The 25,199-nt window shown below is 42.4% G+C and overlaps 2 protein-coding genes across 12 annotated transcripts in view, besides 2 other annotated features; both read right to left on the bottom strand.

The window, feature by feature from the left end:
- The window catches only part of STRN (striatin), a 128,839-nt gene extending 123,289 nt beyond the window's left edge, over positions 1–5,550 (bottom strand). For all 3 annotated transcript variants that reach the window (XM_005264519.6, NM_003162.4, XM_011533073.3), the window contains exon 1: positions 5,244–5,550. In XM_005264519.6, coding sequence (XP_005264576.1) covers positions 5,244–5,477 — 234 coding nt within the window. In that variant the 5' untranslated portion in view covers positions 5,478–5,550. The remainder of the gene's footprint in view (positions 1–5,243) is intronic.
- Positions 1,510–1,705: a silencer, noted in NCBI's record as "fragment chr2:37189639-37189834 (GRCh37/hg19 assembly coordinates)". NCBI's record gives its function as "represses an EF-1alpha promoter that drives an FKBP-Casp9 reporter gene in an ReSE screen in K562 erythroleukemia cells {active_cell/tissue: K562}" and the evidence as "EXISTENCE:reporter gene assay evidence [ECO:0000049][PMID:32094911]".
- Positions 5,231–6,040: a silencer, noted in NCBI's record as "silent region_11352". NCBI's record gives its function as "represses an Ori minimal core promoter by ATAC-STARR-seq in GM12878 lymphoblastoid cells {active_cell/tissue: GM12878}" and the evidence as "EXISTENCE:reporter gene assay evidence [ECO:0000049][PMID:35858748]".
- HEATR5B (HEAT repeat containing 5B) overlaps positions 19,909–25,199 on the bottom strand; it is a 103,478-nt gene continuing 98,187 nt past the window's right edge. For all 9 annotated transcript variants that reach the window (XM_047444812.1, XM_047444810.1, XM_006712035.5 and 6 more), the window contains one exon: positions 19,909–20,808. In XM_047444812.1, coding sequence (XP_047300768.1) covers positions 20,504–20,808 — 305 coding nt within the window. In that variant the 3' untranslated portion in view covers positions 19,909–20,503. The remainder of the gene's footprint in view (positions 20,809–25,199) is intronic.

A 25,199-nucleotide genomic window follows, 5' to 3' on the forward strand; every position in this document is an offset into this window, starting at 1 on the left:
CCAGGGCTCAAGCAATCCTCCCATCTCAGCCTCACGAGTAGCTGGGACCACAGACGCATGCCAACGCACCCAGCTAACTTTGTGAATTTTTTGTAGAGATGGGGCTTCACCATGTTGCCCAGGCTGCACTTTTTTTTTTTTTTTTTTTTTTTTTTTCTGAGACAGGGTCTCCTTCTGTCGCCCAGGCTGGAGTGCAGTGGAGTGATCATGACTCACTGCAGCTTCAACCTCCCAGGCCCAAGCAATCCTCCCACCTCAGCCTCCCAAGTAGCTGGGACTAACCCGGCTAATTAAAAAAATTTTTTTTTCTGGAGATGGGGTTTTGCCATGTTGCCCAGGCTAGTCTTGAACTCCTAGACTCAAGTGATCCTCCTGCCTCAGCCTCAATCCCAAAAGTACTGGGATTACAGGATTACAGGTTTTGAGCCACTGCACCTGGCCCTCTAAAAACTGTTAAGTCATCTTTGACTCCCCTTTTTCTCAAACCCCACATTCTATCCTTTAGCACATCTTGTTGGCTCTACCTTTAAAAATGTATTCAGAATCCTGTATTTTGAATACGTATCAAATACATATTCACATATCTTATCACTACCACCTTAGTTCATCTTCTGCCTGGATTTATTAAAGTAGCCTCCTAACTAGTCCCCCTGCTGCTTCTACTTGTTTTCCCTCCAAGTCTGTTCTGAATCCTTACAAGGGGTCCCTTTTAAAGATGGTGTCACTCTTTTGCTTAAAACATTCCGACGGCTGCTCAGCTTGCTGAGGTATAAGGCCAAAGTCCTTACAATGGGCAAGACCCTGTCTGACATGACTTCTTCCATTAGTACCTGTTTGACATGACTTCTTCCATTCTCTTCCTCTACTCTAGCCACTTTTCCCTCCTTGATATTCCTTAAATATTCCAAGCGTGCTCCCTTCCCCCAGCTGTTCCTTCTGTGTAGAAAGCTCTTTCCTCACCTTAGAGATCACCTTTTCAGGTCTTAGCTCGAATGGCATCTTATCAGTGAATCCTTTCTTCCCCATTCCACCCTCTCAAATCCTCTTATTTTCTTTCCCAACATTCTATGTATTTATTTATCACTGTCTGCCTGCCTCAACAATTTAAGCTTCATAAGGGCAAGATCTGTATTTTTGCTGTTGTATCTCCGGTATCTAGAACAAGGTCTGGCATGAAGTAGATGCTTGAAAAATATTTGGGGAGTGAAAATACAAATTATTAATGCCAAAACCCAGAAAATACAAGTTATTAATGCCAAAACTCTAGCATACAGCCTCCACACCACATGCCCTAAGCTACTCAATCTTGCCACCTTTTTCATACAACTCTAACACTTACAGGTAAATATCAGGGCCTCTCCTACACCACACACCACACACATATCAAAATCTAGGGCCAACATTTTTTATTTTTTATTTACATGCCTGCTTTCTCATAAGTCAGTAATTTTCAAATACTGAGCCTTAGGTTCTCATGAACTCATAAAGTTCTTTACTCCTGCTATTCTCCCCATTCACTGCTGGCTCTTCTCTCCTTCACTATTCTTTTTTTTTTTCTTAAGATGGAGTCTCATTCTGTCGCCAGGCTGGAGTGCAGTGGCACGATCTCAGCTCACTGCAACCTCCGCCTCCCAGGTTCAAGCGATTCTCCTGCCTCAGCCTCCAGCACACACCACCATGCTCAGCTAATTTTTGTATTTTTAGCAGAGACAAGGTTTCACCATGTTGGCCAGGACGGTCTCGATATCTTGACCTCACGATCCGCCTGCCTTGGCCTCCCAAAGTGCTGGGGATTACAGGTGTGAGCCACCGCGCCCGGCCTCTCCTTCACTATTCTAAAGAAATTAGCCTTCTCCCCAAATGATAAACACTCTGATTCTTCTACAAGTTATATCGTACTAATAACTAGACTGCATGTTTCTTTGAGGTCATCTAGCACAATGCCTCACATACAGAAATTTTTCTCAAATATTATTAGTATTCCTTCTCCAATTCCTTTCACAAATGTAAAGCTCACTAATAATCTTAATCATTCTTTTTTTCCCCCCATGAACTACTGCCTAATCTCAACTGGATGTGAGGAGGGGAGCATTACCAAAAATAAAAAGAGAATTTATCAAATAAGATGAGCAAGAGTGAAATAAGTGACAAATAAATAGGTTTTTGCTATAACGTGGCCCTTTCCTTACTCCCAAGATCTGAAGGAGGGAGGAAGCAGTAAAGGCAGGCCAGGCAGATGAGAGCTTGGATTGCCTTTCACAAGTCTTCCCTGGCAACCTGAAAGAGCAGGACTGACAGGTTCTTGAAGAGGCAAATTTGACTTCATCTTAAAGGTATTTGTGTTGACTCTGGTGTTAATGGCTTAGGAAGAGATTTAAAAATTAAAAGGAGGACACCAACTGAGCCGTATTTCATCACAACGCATTCAACTATTTTACTTCCTATTGTGTTTCTAAGAAAATTCCAGTAGCAAAAGAAAAATAAAGAAGATTCAAATGTAACGATGGTAATAATTTTTTTTCCAATTACACTAATAAGGGGGGACAAAGACCAGAGATTACTGCAAACTCTTCCCCCCAAAATATATCATATTCATCCTGTTAGGAAAATGACACATTTTTAAAGTTTCTCTGTGGAAACTTTAATTGGAACACAAAACAGAAAATGCTGTCAAAAAAGTAGTGTCCTTGGCCGGGCACAGTGGCTCACGCCTGTAATACCAGCACTTTGGGAGGCTGAGGCAGGCAGATCACTGAGGTCAGTAGTTCAAGACCAACCTGGCCAACATTGTGAAACCCCGTCTCTACCAAAAATACAAAAATAAGCCAGGCATGGTGGTGCATGACTGTAATCCCAGCTACTTGGGAGGCTGAGGCAGAAGGATTGCTTAAACTTGGGAGGCTGAGGCAGAAGGATTGCTTAAACCTGGGAGGCGGAGGTTGCAGTGAGCTAAGACTGCACCACTGCACACCGGCCTGGGCAACAGAGCGAGACCCTCTCTCCAATAAAAGGAAAAAAAAAAAGGAGTCTCTTTAATATGATAAGCACCCATGGGAAAGCTACCTGAAGTTAATAAACATTTGCCACAAACAACCCAGGAAGGGGTGTTTGGAGATGTGTGCATAAAAACTGAAGATCAACTACAGTTACCAGTAAATTGAAAAGTTTAAACGAGGAGAGGGAGTGAACGGGGCGGGGCGGGGGGAAGGATGGGTTGGAATTCCCCAACTTCTACAGGTAGAAAGGTAAGCATTGTTTTCTGGTGTGTGTGTGTGTTTTGTTTTTGTTTTTTTTTTTTTAACCAAATTAGTGTGAGTTATCTATATTCCCAAAACTGGAAAAGAAATTAAATTTTAAGTAACTAATACAAAAATCATTCCCCACAACTGCACAACATTAAAGTTAAACTTTGCCTTTAACATTTCCTTGAATCCTGAAATCCACACCTTTTATAGAATGCGCTGCTAATAAAGATCAATCTGTAAGTATTCAAATTTGTTGGAGACTATATAAACAAGGTCAAAGAAGACTTGCAAATATCAGATAGACTAGATCGACTAAATACTACAGCAATATAACAATAGGAATGAAAAAGTTGCCAAATAATATAAACATGTAACTACAGACTTACAAGGAAATCATAGAAACTACTGGTCACTCCCTAACTTCATTCAGCTGCTCATTTGTCATCTCTCAGAGGCCTACCCTGACTACCCCATCTAAAATAGCTGCCCCTATCACACGCTATTCCTGAACTCTGACTTATTTCTTCCTCACAGCAGTTGCCACTATAAGCCATTATATTCTATAGGCGCATTTGCTGGACTGTTTGCCTCTCCACTAAAACATAAACTCCATGAGGGCAGAAGCTTGGTCGGTTTTCTTTCAACACAGGGCCTAGACACACAGCTGGCACTCAATACACAGGTGCTGAATAAAATACATGATAAAACTGAAACCCAGAGAGGTTAAAGGATTTCCTCAAGGTCACAGAGCTAGCAACAAACACAGCCCTTACTATAACCTTGTCTACTACAGCCTTGTGTGTTCGCTCTTTCCACAGCCACTTCCACTACACCAGAGCCTGTTCCAGCACATGATTCTATTTAACAGATTTCTCCTCTTCTTTTTTTTCTTAAGCGCCAAATACATGTTACCAAAAAAAGTGACACACTGGGTAGCATTTTAAACTCAAGTGTTTTGCCAACTAAAACTATACTCAAATTTCATAAGTATACAGGCTTAGCCCGTAAAACAGAAAGGCACAACTATTCATAGTTCTTTAAGTTCCTTTTGAAATTGGTGTGTATGCCCTGGAAGTTTTAAGAACAACCACTGAAAACCTATTCACCAATTCTGAATGGCTTGTAAAGTATCAGCCTCACTTTCATTCTTTTCAGAGCCCACAGTTATCTCCTCCCTGGATATACTTTATCTTGCAGATTATGCAAGGCAATGTAACTAACTTCAAAGTCCCTTTAGTTCCTTTTAAAGCACAAGAAAATCTCCCAAAACACTGAACATAAAATTAACCCTTGGGAAGTTTCAGATTCTGAGAACAGGAACCACCTCTTAACCATTCTCTCTGACTGCGATCATCTAGGTCCTTCATTCAAAATGCATTAATTGGAAATACCTAAAAGAAACGTGGGAGGGGGCCGGGGGGTCGGAAGAAAGTGGAGAACAGACATTTACATATATAAAAAAAGGGATCTGATATATGAATAACACTTTTGCCCAACGTCAACTTCTCGCCTCGACTCAAGGCCTGACACAACTTCTGTTGTCTTCTTGATCACCTTCCTTGAAGAGAGGGGCCAAAGCCGGCACGTTCTGCGGAGACTGTCTCTAGACCTAGGAAGGGGCACACCAGGGCAGCGGACGATTTGCTCCGCGTCTCTCAAAACTACTGCCAGCCCAATTAGTAAACCGAGAGGGCAGCCCTGAGATGCAGGATGGCCAGAGAGTTGAAATGAGTCTGGGAGTTAAGAGTGGGATGGGGCGGACGAACAGGCGTGGGGAGGGTAAACAACGCACCAGGAGCGGGAGTGAGAACAGGGTCGAGGTGGGGTCAGCGAAAGGCAAAAGGCGAAGAGAAGAAGGGGACGGGGCTCCGGGTGGGATGGGCGGCAGCAAAGGGGGAGGGGACGCGAGAAGGCTGGGGGAGGGGGAGAAGGGTCCGGGGCGGGGCGGAAGGGAGCAAAGAGGCGGGATGAAGACGGCCAGGCCGGGAGGGTCTTTACCTGCAGCTCCGCCCGCTCCACCTCCCACTGGGCTCTCTCCACCTCGAAGCGGGCCCACTCGTGCTGCAGGAAGTGCAGGATCCCCGGGAGACTGTACTGGGCTCGGGCCGCCCCCGCCGCAGCCGCCCCGTCGCCGGCCGCGGCAGCCTCCGCCAGAGGCCCGAGCCCCTTGGCACCGCCGGCGCCCGGGTGGTTGTTGCTGAAGAAGACGCCGGGACCCGCCTGCTCGTCCATGGCGGCCGCAGATACCCGGGGAGCTGCCCCGGCGCCCAGCAGCGGAGGCAACAGCGGCGGCAAGCAGCGCCTCCTCCTCCCTCCGCCGCTCCCGCCCACACCCCAGTCAGCAGGGAGCAGCCTCCTGGGCGCGGGGGCCGGCCGAGCCCGTGACGGGCCGGGAAATGGGTCAACTGCGGCGCGCTGGCGGCCCGGGGCTTGCCGGGAAATGTAGTCGCGGGGCGGGGCGCGGGCTAGCGCGGCCCGGGCGGCCTGTAGGGCTGTGCCTCAGCTTGGGCGTGGCCTCGGGCCCGCCCCGCCCCGGCTCGCCGCGTAGGGGGCCGGCTGGGCGGGGAGAGCGGGTTTCCTCTGGGGCCGGCTGGGCGCGGGCGGGCGGGTCTCCAGTCTTCCTCGCACGCGGAAGTTCGCGGGCGGCGCACCCTGTTGCATTCAAAAACACACACACACACACACACACACACACACGGAAGTTGTCACGCCAAGATACCTGCCCGAGCTGCACATCTTTTAAGGCTTCCTGGCCGTTCTGTGAAGGAACAGGCTCAAAGCGAGCTACCCGGTGCGGCCGCGGGACCGGGGTTCTCCCGCCAGCTGCCCTGCGTGCTCTCGCTTCGGCTTCGTGTTCGGAGTTTCTCTCACCCTAGACGCTCCTCCATTCTGCCAATCTGCGGGTCGCTGTCGCTCTTGCCTTTCTCTTTTGACTCGAGGGGCTCAAACCTGTTACCTGACCAGTTTTCATTTCTAAGGAACGCCGATCACCTTTCTAAGACAACGCCGCAGCTTTCTGCTGCTGCTTCCAAATTGTGGTTTGTTGACAGCCCATCTGAAAAACTGCTCCGTTGAAGTTTCTTTCCCTTTGCAGTCCTCCTGCAGTAAATCCTGTAAAAGTTTTAGCATCCAATAATAGATGTTCTGTTATTTCGGTCTCATTTTTCCTATCTTATTCCCGCTGATTTTTACTCTACTTAATTGAACAAATATTTTGATTATCGGTTTTCTCTTGCGCTGGGAATATTAAGATAAATGACATCGTTTCTGTCATCAAAGATTGGCGTATAATCAAATATCACAAAGGCTTAATTTAAAAGCTACACCACCTTGAAAAAGCAAGTTCCCTTTCTGCTCCCTAGCGCGGTCTTAGATATCCTGGCCCCTCTCCGTTTTCACTTGTCCTGTTCCCAGTTTCTTTCACGATTCACCTGCCAACTGGCAACAGCATCCGCCTACCAAAGGTACACCAAAGTCCTTTCAAGTTACTCTCTGTAAATATTTGCCTTCTCCGAAGTCTGACAATATGTCACTATAAATTCACACTACAACAGTGGCAAAAAGGAAGGCCCCTGAAAACAATTTAACAAATGCAAATGAAATTAAGCACTTATTTTGTCACCCTAACAAGTTATCTGAAATTCTTACGTTTTGTAGGACGTACTTGTGGGTTATCAGACTTGATGGCCATGAAAAAATGTAAAGATCTAGGCTGCTGAGTGACATGTCAGGGAAAGACATCCTGTCCCTGTCCTCTCTCCCCTCCCCCCCTTTCCCATGGCTACTTGCAGAAAGGACAGGAAACACATTGTGTCTGCTCTGGTTGCAAATAAAGATGGAGAACTCTCTTCTCTCGCTTAATTAATGTTTCTGCTTTATGAATTCATTCTTTATTATCATCAAAGATTGATCCAGGCCTGGCCAAATTCCCTGTGCCATAACTTATTTTGGCTGTCAGTGTCCTTTGAGATACAGCCCAGTCTTCTCATTTACAGCTCAAGGAACTAAATTCCAAAAAAATTGAGACTTGTCAACAATGAGGCCTTGAGTGAGACGACATATCCGACAATTCCTTTAAGTCAATTCATAGCAGACACAAAATGTAATTAAATGTATAGATAATCTGGACTACCACACATATACAAAAACTATTTTAATTCGTAGTTCAACTTTATTACTCACAATACTTTTTTTGCTTTACGAGGACTCATTTACATTTTGGCCAGGCGCCATGGCTCACGCCTGTAATCCCAGCACTTTGGGAGGCCGAGGCGGGTAGATCACTGGAGCCTGGGAGTTGTGGGCAGGAGGCAGGAGAATAGGGTCTGGAGGCAGGGAACGTAAAGTAGATTCAGGCTGACTACCTAGAACTGAATCAAATGGAAATACTTCAGCTATAACAGGAAATGTCCTCTCCACTTACATAGGGCGCACACCAACTAAATGACGTTGTAACTTTACTTCATCCTCTTCATTTACATAGGGCGCACACCAAGTAACCAGTGGAAACCTCTAGAGGGTATTCAAACCCCAGAAAATTCTGTAACGGGACTCTTGATCCCCTATGCTCGGGCCTGCCCCTGCACTGTGGAGCCTACTTTCATTTTCAACAAATCTCTGTTTTTGTTGCTTCATTCTTTCCTTGCTTTGTGCGCTTTCCCCAATTCTTTGTTCAAGATTTCAACAACCTGGACACTCTCCACCGGTAACAGTTGGAGAACAGCCTGGCCAACATGGCAAAACCCGTCTCTACTAAGAATACAAAAATTAGCCAGGCGTGGTGGCACATGCCTGTAGTCCCAGCTACTTGGGAGGCTGAGGTACGATAATCGCTTGAACCCGGGAGGTGGAGGTTGCAGTGAGCCAAGATCATGACACTGCACTCCAGCCTAGGCAATACAGTGAGACTGTGATTCAAAAAAAAAAAAAAGTTTTAAAAAGAAGGCCTTCCCTTAGAGTTCTGGTGCCCTAAGTTGCCTTAAAACTATAGGACTATGAATCCCATAATTATCACTTATTGGTCCTGGCACGGTGGCTCATGCCTGCAATCCTAGCACTTTGGAAGACCGAGGCGGGTGGATTACCTGAGCTCAGGAGTTCAAGACCAGTCTGGGCAACACTGAGAAACCCCATCTCTACTAAAATACAAAAAAAAATTAGCTGGGCGTGGCAGCTTGCGCCTGTAATCCCAGCTCAATTCTCTCATTTTTTAATATGGGAATAATAGTCACCTAATAAAGTTGCTGTGAAGTTAAATGGAAGAAAAAAAGTAAATCCCCTCTCATAGTGCCTACTATATGGTATATTACGGAATAGTGATAGCTATTATTGCAATACAGTTCACAAGAGTAACTGAAACAATATATGTAAAAGAAACAGTCCCTGGTAAATTCTAGGGGCTCAATCATTGTTCTCTCCTTTCTCATTCCCTATTCAAAACTTTAAATTAGTAGAGTTAAAATAATCTTTAAAAAACAAAAACAGGGCCGGGTGAGGTGGCTCACGCCTGTAATCCCAGCACTTCGGGAGGCCGAGGTGGGCAAATCACGAGGTCAGGAATTTGAGACCAGCCTGGCCAACATGGTGAAACCCCGTCTCTACTAAAAATTAAAAAAATTAGCTGGGTGCAGTGGCAGGTGCCTGTAATCCCAGCTACTCGAGAAGCTGAGGCAGGAGAATCACTTGAACCTGGGAGGAGGAGGTTGCAGTGAGCCAAGATCGTGCCACTGCCCTCCAGATTGAGCGGCAGAGGGAGACTCCGTCTCAAAAAAAAAAAAAAAAACAGGCCGGACGGCGGTGGCTCACACCTATAATCCCAGCACTTTGGGAGGCAGAGGTGGGTGGATCACCTGAGGTCAGAAGTTTGAGACCAGCCTGGCCAACATGGTAAAACCCCATCTCTACCAAAAATACAAAAAAAATTAGCCAGGCATGGCGGTGTGCACTTGTGGTCCCAGCTACTCCAGAGGCTGAAGCAGGTGAATCGCTTGAAACCGGGGGGCGGAGGTTGCAGTGAGCCAAGATCACGCCACTGCACTGTAGCCTGGGCAACAACAGCGAAACTCCGTCTCCAAAAACAAAAACAAAAACAAACCATGAAAACAAAAACAACCCCCCCCAAAAAAAAAAAACTAACGTCTATGCCCAATCATTAAGCCTCAGATCTCAACGTGTTGTGATCATTTTATAATTAATAAAGCCAAAATGACAGAAAATAAGGATTCCTTTCCCAGTACACAGAGCAATTGTCAAAATATTGATTTTATATATCACTATAATGAGTTTACAGTGAAAATTGTGAAATGTTGAAAGGTTCTTTAGATAATAGGAGTGTTTGATTTTTTTTTTTTTTTTTTTGAGATGGAGTCTCGCTCTGTTGCCAGGCTGGAGTGCGGTGGCGCGATCTCGGCTCACTGCAACCTCCACCTCCCGGGTTCAAGCGATTCTTCTGCCTCTGCCTCCCGAGTAGCTGAGACTACAGGCACACGCTACCACGCCCAGCTAATTTTTCGTATTTTTAGTAGAGACGGAGTTTCACCATGTTAACCAGGATGGTCTCAATCTCTTGACCTCATGATCCGCCCACCTCAGCCTCCCAAAGTGCTGGGATTACAGACGTGAGCCACTGCGCGCCTGGCTTTTTTTTTTTTTTTGACAGAGCCTCGGTCTGTCACCCAGGCTGGAGTGCTGTGGTGCATTCTCGGTTCACTGCGATCTCCACCTCCCAGGTTCAAGCGATTCCTCTGCCTCAGCCTACCCAGTAGCTGGGACTACAGGTGCACACCACCACGCCCGGCTAATTTTTTGTATTTTAGTAGAGACGGGGTTTCACCACGTTGGCTAGGATGGTCTCGATCTCCTGTCCTCGTGATCTGCCCGCCTCGGCCTCCCAAAGTGCCGGGATTACAGGCGTGAGCCACCGTGCCCTGCCGAGTGTTTACTGTTTTTCAGTTTATATGTGTATGCTTTGTGGGATGAGGATTATAGATCTATAAAATGACAATTCACCTGCTCTTTTGAAAAATGTGTCACGCCAGGTGCAGTGGCTCAGGCCTGTAATCCCAGCACTTTGTGGGGCAGAGGCAGTCTGATCACTTGAGGTCAGGAGTTTGAGACCAGCGTCGCCAACATCGTGAAACCCTGTTGCCTACTAAAAATATAGAAATTAGCTTGGCGTGGTGGTGCGTGCCTGTAATCCCAGCTACTCCGGAGGCTGAGGCAGGAGAATCGCTTGAACCTGGGAGGCAAGGTTACAGTGAGCCGAGATCTCACAACTGCACTCCAGCCTGGTGACAGGGCAAGAGTCCTTCTCAATAAATGAATGAATGAATGAATAAATAAATAAATGAAATTTGTCATTAAAATGAATGGTTCTTTTTTTTTGAGACGGACAAATATTTTACATAAATTCAATCACTTAATATGTGTTTTTTTGTGACTGGCTTCTTACTGTAATGTTTTCTGTTTGTTTGCTTGTATTTGAGACAGGGTCTTGCTCTGTGGCCCAGGCTGGAGTGCCCTGGCACCATCTCAGCTCACTGCAACCTCTGCTTAATGGATTTAAGTGATTCTCCTGCCTCAGCCTCTCAAGTAGCTGGGACAACAGGGGCGGGCAACACGACGCCTGGCTAATTTTTGTATTTTTCATAGAGACGGGGTTTTGCCATGTTGGCCAAGCCGGTCTTGAACTTCTGAACTCAAGTGATCTGCCCACCTCAGCCTCCCAAAGTGCTGGGATTACAGGTGTGAGCCACTGTGCCCAGCCTATTTTTCTAAAACTGTCCAAAATGACCAGTTATTTGGGGCTCTGACTCTTTAACTGCTCAAAGAAAGGTCCTTAAGTTGAACTTGATGGCTCTTTTAGAATTATGGCCAGGAAAAAAAAAAAAAAGAACTGCTTGATTGACAGGAGAAAAGGCCTCCCCAAGGATTAAGAGAACTTTAGGGAATAGAAATATGCAATAACCCATTGTTTATCCACCTCTTCTACCACCTCCTCACTCCCTAATCTCTCCCACCTCTCCTTTCTGCCTACCCTGCTTCAGGGGGCCAGTCTCTGTTTCTGCCTTTCTCAGATTCCAGCCAAACTTACTCCCTAAATTTGAAGTCTGGTAATGGCTGAGTTGGGGAAACAGCCAGTATTAAGTTAGGAATGAAGGAATTGTAGCATCTAAAATTTTTCTTGGAGTCCAAGAATTAAATCTATACCAGTCTTGTGATAGGATGAGAAAATTGCTCATATCAGTTGTCATTATTGTTACTACTATTTTCTTTTGGAAGAGTATGATTGAAGTTAGGGAGTTGCCTAATTTTAATTTCTAAATTGATGTTTTATTTCGTTAAATTTAATAAATTCAATGAAATAAAACTTAATTTAAAATTAATTTTGTAGTGACTGATATTTACAGAAATAGATACTTCAAATCTAAAATCAGGATTACTTTGACAAATCTAAATATCTAATACAGGGGAGATTGAAATGATAATACAGCTCTGAAGCTGTAGCAAGACTTCTCTTGGAATATTAATGGTGATCAACTTCAGATTCTATTTCTCTAAGCAAAGGTAAACTGGTTTTTGAACACATTCTTTTCCTTTCTCCCCATCAATCCCATGCCTTGCTTCCCTACCCCTTTTCTCTTTTAAAATTTCCAATGAGTGTAGGCTCTATTCAACAGATTGTTTTCTTTTAGTAACTGAGGTGTCCTCATTTCTAAGCCAGAAACTGAATTTCAAACAATTAACGTCTACTTCATTACATAAAAATAACTGTGTGTGTATGTGTGGTGTATAGAAAAAGAACGTTTTTTATGAGCTTGCTATTCCTGTCAACTCTGCAGCTGAGATGCACTCATTTCCAGGTATAGCCACTTTCTCAGCAGACGACACTCAATTTTCATTTAGGCTTGAATTGCTCAGAACAGTACTGCCTTCCCAAGCTCCCACCTGGTAGTGCTTAGACATAAATTAAGTTGATCCTCAAAAAAATTCAAATCTGGTACAATATTTTTTACAAATATGATGGGCGAGGGGGAGGTGGAACGAAATCTGGGCACTGTGCAAGAAAAACAAGAGAAATGAATGAAGTTGAAGAAATCCAATACATTTTGTTTCATTTTGAACACATTGTTTTCCTTAGATCTTCTAAAACAGGATTTAACCTATTTCGCTTGTACTATATCTCTCTCCCTCTACTCTCCAGGCCCTCAATATTCTACTGTTGTTCAATATGTGTTAATTATAGTACTTGCAGTTGTTCTCTGTAATGGAAAATTCTATCATTATCTATGTTATCTTCTCTCCCAGATTTCCCCTCAGCTGCAGGACATGAAGTAACAAGAGTGGGAGTGGTTGGAACCAGCTTATATACACTTTCACGTGAACTCTAATACATAACATTATTCCTGATAAACTGATAGTATTCAAGCTTAAGGAGCCAATATATAAAAATTCATTGTAGGGGAAAAAGATAACTTAAATAACATGGTTTTTAGTATATGGCAATAACCAAATTAATGCTGCAACTTTTCTTTATAAGAATGTAGCCGGATTAAAATGTTAAAGAAAGAGTATAAATAAGCTAGAAGATGACGGTGGGATGGGGAGCATTTTTGGCAAAATTGAAATACCCTGAGGAAGAAAAGTACACAGTATATTTGATATGTTGAAAGAACTCCAATATGGCCAACACATAAAGAGCAACATAAAAGTGATAGTGATTACTGTTGTTGTTTTTTTTTTTTTTTTGAGGAGTCTTGCTCTGTCACCCAGGCTGGAGTCCGGTGGCACAATCTTGGCTCACTGCAACCTCTGTCTCTTGGGTTCAAGTGATCCTCCTGCCTCAGCCTCCCAAGTAGCTGGGACTACAGGCATGCACCACCATACCTGGCTAATTTTGTATTTTTAGTAGAGACGGGGTTTCTCCATGTTGGTCAGGCTGGTCTCGAACTCCCGACCTCAGGTGATCCGCCCGTCTTGACCTCCCAAAATGACGGGATTACAGGCGTGAGCCACTGTGCCTGGCCACAAAGTTCTATTTTTTTAAACACAAATGCAACATAATTATTATTATTTGAGATGGAGTCTCGCTCTGTCGCCCAGGCTGGAGTGCAGTGGCGCGATCTCGGCTTACTGCAAGCTCCGCCTCCCAGGTTCATGCCATTCTCCTGCCTCAGCCTCCTGAGTAGCTGGGACTACAGGCGCCCACCACCACGCCCGGTTAATTTTTTTTTTTTTTGTACTTTTAGCAGAGACGGAGTTTCACCGTGTTAGCCAGGATGGTCTCAATCTCCTGACTTCGTGATCCGCCCGCCTCGGCCTCCCAAAGTGCTGGGATTACAGGAGTGAGCCACCGCGCCTGGCCCACACTTTATATATATATATATATATATATATATATATATATATATATATATATATATATACACACACACACACGCTTTGTATATACATATATATGTGTGTGTGTGTCTATATAAATATACATATATATACATATATACATATATTTACATATACATACATATATATACATATACATATATATACATATATACATATATTTACATATACATACATATATACATATACATATATATACACATATATATATATATACTGGAAATATGGAAATATAGTTTCCAGTTTATATATACATACATAAACTGGAAGTAAATTACCTAAGATTAGCATAATGACTAAGTCAATAATGGTACATCCATTATTAAGTAACCATCAAAAAATGATTCCTACTGGTGGTAGCTCACATCTGTAATCGCAGCACTTGGGAGGCTGAGGTGGACGGATTACTTGAGACCAGGAGTTCGAGACCAGCCCAGCCAACCTGGCAAAACCCAGTCTCTACTAAAAATACAAAAATTAGCTGGGCGTGGAGGCACTCACCTGTAGTCCCAGCTACTCGGGAGGTGGAGGTTGCGGTGAGCTGAGATTGCGCCACTGCACTCCAGCCTGAGCGACAGGGCAAGACTGTCTCAAAAAAACAAAACAAAACGAAACAAAACTTAGCTCAGTATAATTTTTCTAAATTATGATTAAGGGACCAGGGTCCGAGTCTGATGCCTATAATCCCAGCACTTTGGAATCCGAAGCAAACGGACTGTTTGAGTTCAGGAGTTCAAGACCCGCCTGGGCAACACGTGAAACCCTGTCTCTTAAAAAAAAAAAAAAAAAAATTTAGCTAGGCATGGTTGCATGTGCCTGTAGCCCCAGCTACTTGTGAGGCTGAGGCAGGCTGGGCGCTGTGGCTCATGCCTGTAATCCCAACACTTTGGGAAGCCGAGGTGTGAGGATCACGTGAGCCCAGGAAGCTGAGGTTCAGTGAGCTGTGACCATGCCACTGCACTCTAGGCTGGGCGATGGAGGGAGACCCTGTTTCAAAAAATAATAAATAAATAATAAATTAAAAAATGATTAAGATATGAAATTCTTAATAAAATTCTGTGAAGCCCATAAATAATACTTTCATAAGGTTTTAGATATGAGAGAACTAGAAATGAGTTTGTAATTATTAAATCAGGTTTTAAAAATAATCCATCTAATGGAAAGCACTGAGGCAAGAAATTTATTTATAGTTCTACTCTAGCCATGTCTGACATCAACCTAAAAATTCCAACTGAGATTTAAGAATTCTAATATCGAAAATAAACTAGAGGAAAAAAAATGTAGGGATAATAATTCATATAAATAAATGTCTTCAATATTGGGATAATTATATCCATCATTCAGCATTGTTTAAATGAAAATAAATAATGGGTATGAAGTGTCTAACACAGTGCTTGGAACACAACAGAAATGGTCATTCTTACTGACAATACCAACCTGTAGTATTTTAACTTCTATATCTGGATTATGTTTAGTGGGTTGTTTTTTTGTTGTTGCTGTTGTTGTTGTTTTGAGTCAGGGTCCCTTTCTGTCACCCAGACTGTAGTGCAGCAGCGTGATGATAGCTCACTGTAAACTTGAACTCCTGGGCTCAAGTGTGTCTCCTCTGTCAGTCTCCCAAGCTCTTGCTATGTTACACAGGATGGGCTCGAAGTCCTGGCCTCAAGCAATCCTCCAATCTCAGCCTTCCAAAGAGCTGGGATTACAGGCATCAGCCACCAAGCCCAGCCTTGTTTACTGTATTTTACACTGTTACACTGTGATAGTAGTTCTACACACATGTAAAGACTGCTTGTCAGACTAAATAATGTTATGTACCAATATTAAAGGACTGGCCAAAAATTCTCTTGATAAAAATAAGCAGGACAAATATTCAGCTATATGTACTTTTTTTTTTTAATGTGTAAAAGATCAGAGAGAGGATATTTACTAAATTTTCTCATTCTATAGATGAGAAAACTGAAGCCCCAAAGGGTCAGGTTGTCTAAACTTCTATTCCTAGTTGATGACAGAACCTACTTAGAACAGGGATACTTGCCTTATCAGGGATGAGTTTTCTCTAATTAAGAAATCAGGCCTGGTCCGGGCACTGTGGCTCACGCCTGTAATCCCAGCACTTTGGGAGGCTGAGGTGGACGGATCATGAGGTCAGGAGATCGAGACCGTCCTGGCTAACACGGTGAAACCCTGTCTCTACTAAAAATACAAAAAATTAGCTGGGCATGGTGGCGGGAGACTGTAGTCCCAGCTACTCGGGGGGCTGAGGCAGGAGAATGGTGTGAACCTGGGAGGCGGAGCTTGCAGTCAGCCGAGATCTGCGCCACTGCACTCCAGCCTGGGTGACAGAAGAGCGAGACTCTGTCTCAAAAACAAAACAAAAAAAGAACTCAGGCCTGGGCGCGCGGTGGCTCATACCTGTCATCTCAGCACTTTGGGAGGCCGAGGTGGGCAGATCACCTGAGGTCGGGAGTTCAAGGTCAGCCTGGCCAACATGGCGAAACTCCATCTCTACTAAAAATACAAAAATTAGCCAGGCATTGTGGCGGGCGCCTGTAATCCCAGCTACTTGGGAGGCTGAAGCAGGAGAATCGCTTGAACCCAAGAGACGGAGGTTGCAGTGAGCTGAGATCAAGCCACTGCACTCCAGCCTGGGCGACAGTGAGACTCCGTCTCAAAAAAAAAAAAAGAATTCAGGCTGGGTGCAGTGGCTCATGCCTGTAATCCCACCACTTTAGGAAGCTGAGGAGGGAGGATCGCTGCAGCCCAGGAGTTTGTGGCTCTAGTGAACTACGATGACAACACTGCAATCTAGCCCTTGTGACAGAGCAAGACCCTGTCTCAAAAAATAATAATTCAAATGTATAATATTGATTAGTAAGAACTTAGAAAGCAAACAGAAGATACTTTGTCTTGAACTATGAAAACTGCTCAGAGTATGCTTCAGAAAGAATTACTGGCTATCATGTTGCTTCTCCTTTTAGCTTCATGATACTGGATGTTCATAATCAAATAAATAAGATTATTTAGGTTGAGAAAAATCTCATGGGTTGGGCAGCAGAACAAATTAATAATCTTCAAACAGATCTTCCCTTTACAGATATGATCACAGAAAACTAGAAGTTGTCAGTGACTTAGAAGGGTCTAGAGAAGGCCAAGCACGGTGGCTCACGCCTGTAATCCCAGCACTTTGGGAGGCCGAGGCAGGTGGATCACCTGAGTTCAGGAGTTCAAGACCAGCCTGACCAACATGGAGAAACCCTGTCTCTACTAAAAATACAAAATTAGCCAGTCGCAGTGGCACATGCCTGTAATCCCAGTTACTCGGGATGCTGAGGCAGGAGAATCACTTGAACCTGGAAGGCGGAGGTTGAGGTGAGCCGAGATCATGCCATTGCACTCCAGCCTGGGCAACAAGAGTGAAACTCCGCCTCAAAAAAAAAAAAAAAAAAAAAAAAAAAAAAAAAAAAAACCAAAAACAGAAGGGTCTACAGAAAGCATAAAGATGTACTGAGAGAGAGAGGAAGGGAGACAGGGAGGGAGAGGATCATTGCTAATGCATGATGCAGTCTACCCTAAAGTGGGAAATGATGGGAGAAGCCAAGAACAGCAAAAAATAGCCAAGGCAGAAATAAACATACTTTATAAATAGATGAGGGAAAAGGGGTTACGTGTGTACATGCATGTGTGCAAAAAAATAAGGAGATTAGAAACAGTCTGGTGGTTCCTTAGAAAGTTAAACATGAGTCAGAAAGGCCATATTTAAGAAAAAAAAAAGGAAAAAGGTAGACTTATTTGAACAAGCAATTTCACTCCTAGGTATATACTCAAGTAATATTAAAACATATGTCCACCCCAAAACTTGTACATAATTGCTCATAGCATCATTATTCCTAACAGGCAAGAAAAAGATGGAAAAATCCAAATGTCCTGCAACTGATGAGTAGATTCACAAAATGTGGTATATATACAATGGAATACTATGCAGCCATAAAAAGGAATGAAGTGCAGATTCATGCTACAACATGGATGAACCTTAAAAAACATTACAGTGGGCCGGATGTGGTGGCTCACGCCTGTAATCCCAGCACTTTGGGAGGCTGAGGAAGGCGGATTGCCTGAGCTCAGGAGTTCAAGACCAGCCTGGCCAACACGGTGAAACAAAAAATTAGCCAGGCGTGGCGGCGTGTGCCTGTAATCCCAGCTACTGGGGAGGCTGAGGTAGGAGAATCGCTGGAACCCAGGAGGCAGAGGTTGCAGTGAGCCAAGACTGTGCCACTGCACTCCAGCCTGGGTGACAGAGTGAGGCTCCATCTCAAAAACAAACAAAGAAACAAACATTACAGTGGGTTGGTGGCTCATGCCTGTAATACCAGAACTTTGGAAGGCTGAGGCAGATGGATCACTTGAGCTCAGGAGTTTAAGACCAGCCTGGGCAACGTGGTGAAACCCTGCCTCTAACAAAAATATGAAAAATTAGCAGGGCATGGTGGTGTGCGCCTGTAATCCCAGCTACTCAGGAGCCTGAGGTGGGAGGATTGCTTGAGCCCAGGAGGTAGAGGCTGCAGTGAGCTGAGATTGCGCCACTGCACTCCAGCCTGGGCAACAGAGCAAGATCCCATCTCAAAAAACAAGCAAACAGAAAACATTACAGTAAGAAGCCAGTCACAAAAAACCACATATTAAGTGGTTCAATTTATATGAAATGTCCATGAGAGGAAAATCCAGAGACAGAAAGTAGATTAGTGGTAGCCTAAGTTGGGGGGAAATGGGGAGATGGTAGGAGGATAGCTAAAGGATACAAGGTTTCTTTTTGGGGTAATGTTCATAATTGATTGTGGTGATGGTGGCACCACTAAAAACCATTGAACTGTACACTTTGCTGGGATACAGTGGCATGATCACAATTTATTGCAGCCTCAAACTCCTGGGCTCAAGCAATTCTCCTGTCTCAGCCTCCTGAGTAGCTGGGACTACAGGAGTGCACCACTGCGTCTGGCTAATTTTCTTTTTGTTTAACGTAGAGATGAGGACTTGCTGTGTTGCCCAGGCTGCCTCAAACTCCTGGCCTCAGCCTCCCAAAGTGTTGGGATTACAGGTGTGAGCCACCATGCCCAAACTGAATTGAGTTGTATGGTATGTGAACTGGATCTCCATGAAGTTGTTAGCGAAAACAAAAACAAAAACCAAGGAGAATAATTGTGGCAATGCAAACCTGAAATGAAAAAACAACCAGCGCCAAGTGTGGTGGCTCACGCCTGTAATCCCAGCACTTTGGCAGGCTGAGGTGGGAGGATCATTCAAGCCTGGGTGATTGAGGCTGCAGTGAGCCGTGGTCATGTGCCACTGCACTCCAGCCTGGGCAAAAGTGAGACCCTGCTTCAAAACAAAACAAAACAAAACAAAAATGAAAAGAAGCTGGGCATGGTGGCTCACGCCTGTAATCCCAGCACTTTGGGAGACAGAGGCAGGCAGATCACCTGAGGTCAGGAGTTCGAGACCAGCCTGACCAACATGAAGCCCCGTCTCTACTAAAAATACAAATTAGCTGGGTGTGGTGGCGGGTGCCTGTAATGTCAGCTATTCAGGAGGCTGAGGCAGGAGAATTGCTTGAACCCAGGAGGCGGAGGTTGCAGTGAGCCAAGACCGCGCGACTGCACTCTAGCCTGGGCGCGACAGAGAGAGACTCCATCTAAAAAAAAAAGAAAAGAAAAAAGAAAAGAAAAAAACACCCAAAAGTCAGTGAGAAAACAGGCAAGACAAAGTACCTATCTCAGGTATCTAAAAGGCTGAGTGGAGTTCAAGTGTAGTGAGCTATGATTGCACTCCAGTCTGGGCAACAGTGCAAGACTCTGTCTCTAAAAGAAAAAGGAAAAGAAAGGAAAAGAGAAAAGAAGATAAATGTTCAGAAAGTGACTTGCTTTTGATAATACTTGTTCAGTCTGTTACACTGTGCGGTAAAACTTGGTGTTTAAAATTTGCTAAATGCTGTGGCAAACATTCATTGTGTGAATTATCTATTTCGTACGGTAAAATGCCCACTACATGAAAGAATGGCATCACTGTAATTATGCCTAATTCATTTTTGTATCCCCTGCAGCACTTAGCTTGATGCCTTATACACAGTAGGCATTCAATAAATATTTGATGAAGGAAACTAACCATCATAGCCAGAACTTGAGGTTCTGTAATTACAAAACATAACTGAAGCCAAATTTTAGCCATTAAAAAAAGCAGAATATTATATTACATTTAAACATTTTAGTGAACCTTTAAATGAGAATTTTAATTGTTACCAACTAAAATATACATAGCATAATTTAGTAATTTGATATGAAAGCTAAAAGATCCATCAGAAAGATAAGGACATTTTGGGAAATGCTTAGAAAATGCTGTGATTTTATTCATAGTATATACACCACAAAACAGACACTTTCCATTATTTTGATTACTTCAAAATTTAAAATCTGCTTGTTTTTCAATTGATTTTTTTCATGACAGATGCTGAGTTCTGACCCATTTTTTTCCCCTGACAGTATCAATAGGCTGCCCGACTACATGATACAATTGTTTTTAGCATTTAAATTTAAGACTATGGCTCAGTGTTTGAAAAATAAATAAGTTAACAAAAGAGAAACATTATTAGGAGGAAAATGAAAACATATTCACCACATGATAAAAAAAATCACTCCTTAAAAATCAATAAGTGGTGTGAGCATTATTTCACTTAACCTACTTGGAAGCACTATAATACCAATATACAAATAAAACAGAACCCATAGGTAGCCTGGAATGATACAGTGGCCATCACTAATTAGGGGCTAGTTGACAACATAAATACAAATAAATGAAATTACAAATTAAAAAAAACTTGTTTTTAGCTTAATTGTTGGTGCAGAATGTATGGCGGGGGCTGGTTGTCTGGCAGCCGCTTTAGCTTTGCTCGCTTGGCTTGCTCGAACGGCAGTTTCTAGACGCACTTTCAACTCAGGAGCAGCCCCCATTACTGTCTTGAAAGCATGTGGATACAGAGGTCCAATATGCATTAAATTCTGGAGTGCAAACTCATGAAGATCTTTGGAAGCTGAACTTGCTGAGGCAAAAGAATTTTCATCCAGCAGGTAAGATATCAAAGTGGGAACTAAAAGAGCAAGTAGCTGGACTCCTGTAAATAATAAAGTATGAAAAAAGATCACAAACATAAGGATTATAATAAACTTTAAAAACTAGGCAATTGCCATGGAAGACTGAACATAATAAAATATAAGTACACATGCACAGCCTACTTTAGACCTCAATAACTCGTAATTAATATTAAATATTTACTAAATGTACAAGCTGGAAACCAGGTTTGTTAATATTGTATATTTTACATTTATATTAATTTGCTTTACTTAAAAAAAAAAAAGGGCCAAAGGTTAAAAAGTAATAAAACACTTTACAATTGCCACCTGGTAGAATGTATCTTGAGAGTAAGATTATAAAATTTTTACGGGCATTCTAGAATCAGGAGATTGGAGTGAGGAACAGAAACCTGAAAAGCATCTATTTACCATTATTTAACTAACACTAGTTGTTTCTTTCCTCTTTAAGTAGAAATACAATACAACTTTTTTCCTATTTCATCATCCCCCAAAACTCACAGTGAGGGGAAATTCCTCAAAACTAAGGGAATACATAAGCTTAGGGTTAAAAAAACAAGAACCTATGTCCGACTGATATAAATTCCAAGTCCTTAAAAAAGTATTTATTTGGAGGCTTCATCTCCTTTTGTTAGTCTTTTGTCTTTACTTATATTAACAACTCCATCCTGGGATATAAGTTTCATTAAAGGTGATTTTTTTTAACAATTAACCTTTATATGTAATTGTGTGTGTGTATAACATCTCATAATCACATTGAGAATTACGCGTTCTCCCCCTTAATTACTGTTAATTTTTGTAGAATGACAACTGACGCAATTGTAAGGCAGGAGGAAGCATCTGGTAGAGAATGTGTGACACTCACTGATGTCAGCAAGGACAGTGATAATAATCAGTGAAGCCTTTCCAGAATCCCAGTTCCACCCTGGACCTTACTCCCTATTTTCTTTCCCTGCTGTATTTTTTTCTTCACAGCTCCTATCAATTCCTGCATCTAACTATAGATGTTATATCTACATCTAAAATTGATATATCCATCATCACTATATAAAATTGCACAAAGATACATGTCTACATATAACAGACACAGATACACACACACACACACACACACACACACACACACACACACACACACACGTATAGGGGACGAGAAGTGTTTATTGTCTGTGTTTTCCTACCAGAAATGTAAGCTCCATGAGATCAGGGACCTTTGCCTGTTTTATTTCACGAGAAATTCTCAATGCCTAGAACACTACCTGGTACACAGCCATCCAGTAACTATGCTTTGAATGAATAAACATACATACTCTTTCTCTTGGCAACTACCCAGAAGTTTCCAATTAAATGGATTTGTTTCCATATTAAGTTTTCAGAAAAGAGGTAAAAAGCTTATTTTTAAAGTCCCAGGTAAATCCTCCAATCTTCTAGATTTAGTTCAATTTCCCTCATGTACAATGTTAATAGTATTATAGGGGTAGGCGCGGTGGGCTCATGCCTGTAATCCTAGCACTTTGGGAGGCCAAGGTGGGCGGATCCCCTGGTCAGGAGTTTGAGACCAGCCTAACCAACATGGAGAAACCCTATCTCTACTAAAAATACAAAAAAAAAAAAAAAATTAGCCGGGCATGGTGGCGCATGCCTGTAATCCCAGCTACTAGGGAGACTGAGGCAGGAGAATCGCTTGAATCTGGAAGGCGGAGGTTGTGGTGAGCCGAGATCGTGCCATTGCACTCCAGCCTGGGCAACAAGAGCGAAACTCTGTCTCAAAAAACAAAACAAAACAAAACAAAAAAACCCAAAAATATTAGCTGGGTGTGGTGGCACATGCCTGTAATCCCAGCTACTCTGGAGGCTGAGGCAGGAGAATCGCTTGAACCTGGGAGGCAGAGGTCTCAGCGAGCAGAGATCGTGCCATTGCACTCCAGCATGGGCGACAAAGCGAGACTCCCTTTCAAAAAAAAAAGTTAATAGTATTATAAAAGCTGGCTTTCATAATAAAAATAAAGTAGAGAATTATAAAATATATATAAAATTATCTTCAGTATATTGGCTTGCTAAATTGGAAGAGGTTTCAATAGTAGGTTTTCAACAGTAGGTTGAAAATTAAGGTTTTGGTTTTAACAATTTTAAAATATAACTGGAGGCCGGACGCAGTGGCTCATGCCTGTAATCTCAGCACTTTGGGAGGCTGAGGCGGGTGGATCACCTGAGGCCAGGAGTTCGAGACCAGCCTGGCCAACATGGTGAAACCCTATCTCTACTAAAAATATAACAAATTAGCTGGACGTGGTGGCAGGCGCCTGTAATCCCAGCTACTCCTGAGGCTGAGGCAGGAGAATCACTTGAACTCGGGAGGCGGAGGTTGCAGTGAGCCAAGATCAGGCCACTGCACTCCAGCCTGGGCAACAAGAGTGAAACTCTGTCTCAAAAAAAAAAAAAAAATATATATATATATATATATATAAAACTGGAAAAAATATAAGTTATTTAAGTATTCATCAAATATCTAGAAATATGCTAAGCATTATAGGAAATGTTACATAATTTGTTTCTACCTGGATTCTTTTATTATCTAAATGAAAACAGTAGACAGCACATAGAACAATTAGAGTACTAAGTGCTAAAAAACGTGGGTAGCATTTCCGTATAGAATTCACCAAGAGAATCACAAAACTGAGGAATACTTTGGGATTTTATTTGGTTGGTTACAAATACCAAATAAATTCTATGAAGGGTAAAATCGGAGTGAGCTACGCAATTAGGCAATATTTCTCAAAGAAAAGATCTAATGTAGGTTTAATAGATTTGTATAAGAAAAAAATAAGAGAAAAAACAACTGAAGAAAGTGAAAATAATATGAACAATGTAAGCGATTAAAAGGAGCACAGAAAGGAAACTGGTCTGGTCAGGTTAGTAGGTACACGTTGGGGAGCAGAAAAAATATTTTGAAAAGCAAGCAAAGACGTTCAGACTTGATGCTGTAAGGAAAGAGTAAACTTTTCCAAATTCTTAAGCAAAGGAGAGATAAAATTACTTTAGGTAAATTTGATGGGGAATATCAGCTAGGAAAACTATTATAGTTATCTATTTAGGAGGTGATTAGATATAAGAATAAGGTGCAAGTTTCTCTTGAAACCTAGAGAAATTTCAGAAAGAAATGGGACAAGATTTGAATAACAGATTCAATAAAGATGATGAACAAGGAGTCAAATATAATTCTAATATTTTTAGCTTATAACCTTGGTCATGCAGGGTGAAAAAACATATACTGCCCATTCTTATACCGGATACTGTAAAGTTGACAACAAAATTAACATCTGTAAATGGGATGAAAAAAGTTGAACGACTTAAATTCAAAAGCTGAAAATTTACCCTCTTGGAATCATGTAACTATGTAAAATATGAAGTGAAGTATAAAAATGTTGCCATCAAATTAATATGATTTACATTCATTCATTTATTTGATGGTATCCTCCTAATGAGTGTCATCTTATTTCACCAATGAGACTTGTGTGCCTTTGGTTTTTTATGGCATTTAGTCTTAGATTCAGTTTTAATTTTAAAAACAGGCAAACTGCTTATTCTACCTCTTAAAAGTCTTGTTAGAGTACAAAACATCTGTTATCTGAGTAGTGAAGCAGTCCATTAAAAAAATGAAGAAATCACGATGGTGCTTTTTTTTGGTTTTTTTTTTTTTTTTTGAGACAGAGTCTCACTCTGTTGCCCAGGCTGGAGTGCAGTGGTGTGATCTCGGCTCACTGCAACCTCTGCCTCCTGGGTTCAAGCGATTCTCCTGCCTCAGCCTCATGAGTAGCTGGGACTACAGGCATGTGCCACCACTCCTGGCTTTTTTTTTTTTTTTTTTTTTTTTCAGTAGAGACGGGGTTTCACCATATTGGCCAGGCTGGTCCTGAACTCCTGAACTCGTGATCCATCCGCTTTGGTCTCCCAAAGTGTTGGCATTACAGGCGTGAGCCACCACACCTGACCAATGGTGCTGATCATTGCTACACCTCATTAATAATGCTACAAATTGGTCTGGTTGATAGTTGAAATTACAATGCTTTGGTTGTTTTATATCTTAAACTGAAAAAGGGTCATTTATTTCAAAGATATTGCTAAAGCCTAACTAGCTATTAAACTATATTTAATTATACAAATGATATATATATTCTTACTGTCAAAAAAATCAAACAATACAGAATTAAAAAAAAAGTTCCCTTCCCTATCTGTCCTCATGCTAAATTTAACTCCAAATTAGGGTGCCTGTAAAGGAATTGATCCCAAGAGTCAACTCAAAAATATTTTAAATACTAGAACGCAATAAAACTTAGTGCTGGGATTACAAAGTGAGTAAGATTCAGTCCTCATCTTTATGGAATTTACAATTAGTAAAATAAAAATACAAATA

The sequence above is a fragment of the Homo sapiens genome, chromosome 2, assembly GCF_000001405.40.
Source record: "Homo sapiens chromosome 2, GRCh38.p14 Primary Assembly".
In the NCBI taxonomy this organism is placed as follows: domain Eukaryota; kingdom Metazoa; phylum Chordata; class Mammalia; order Primates; family Hominidae; genus Homo; species Homo sapiens.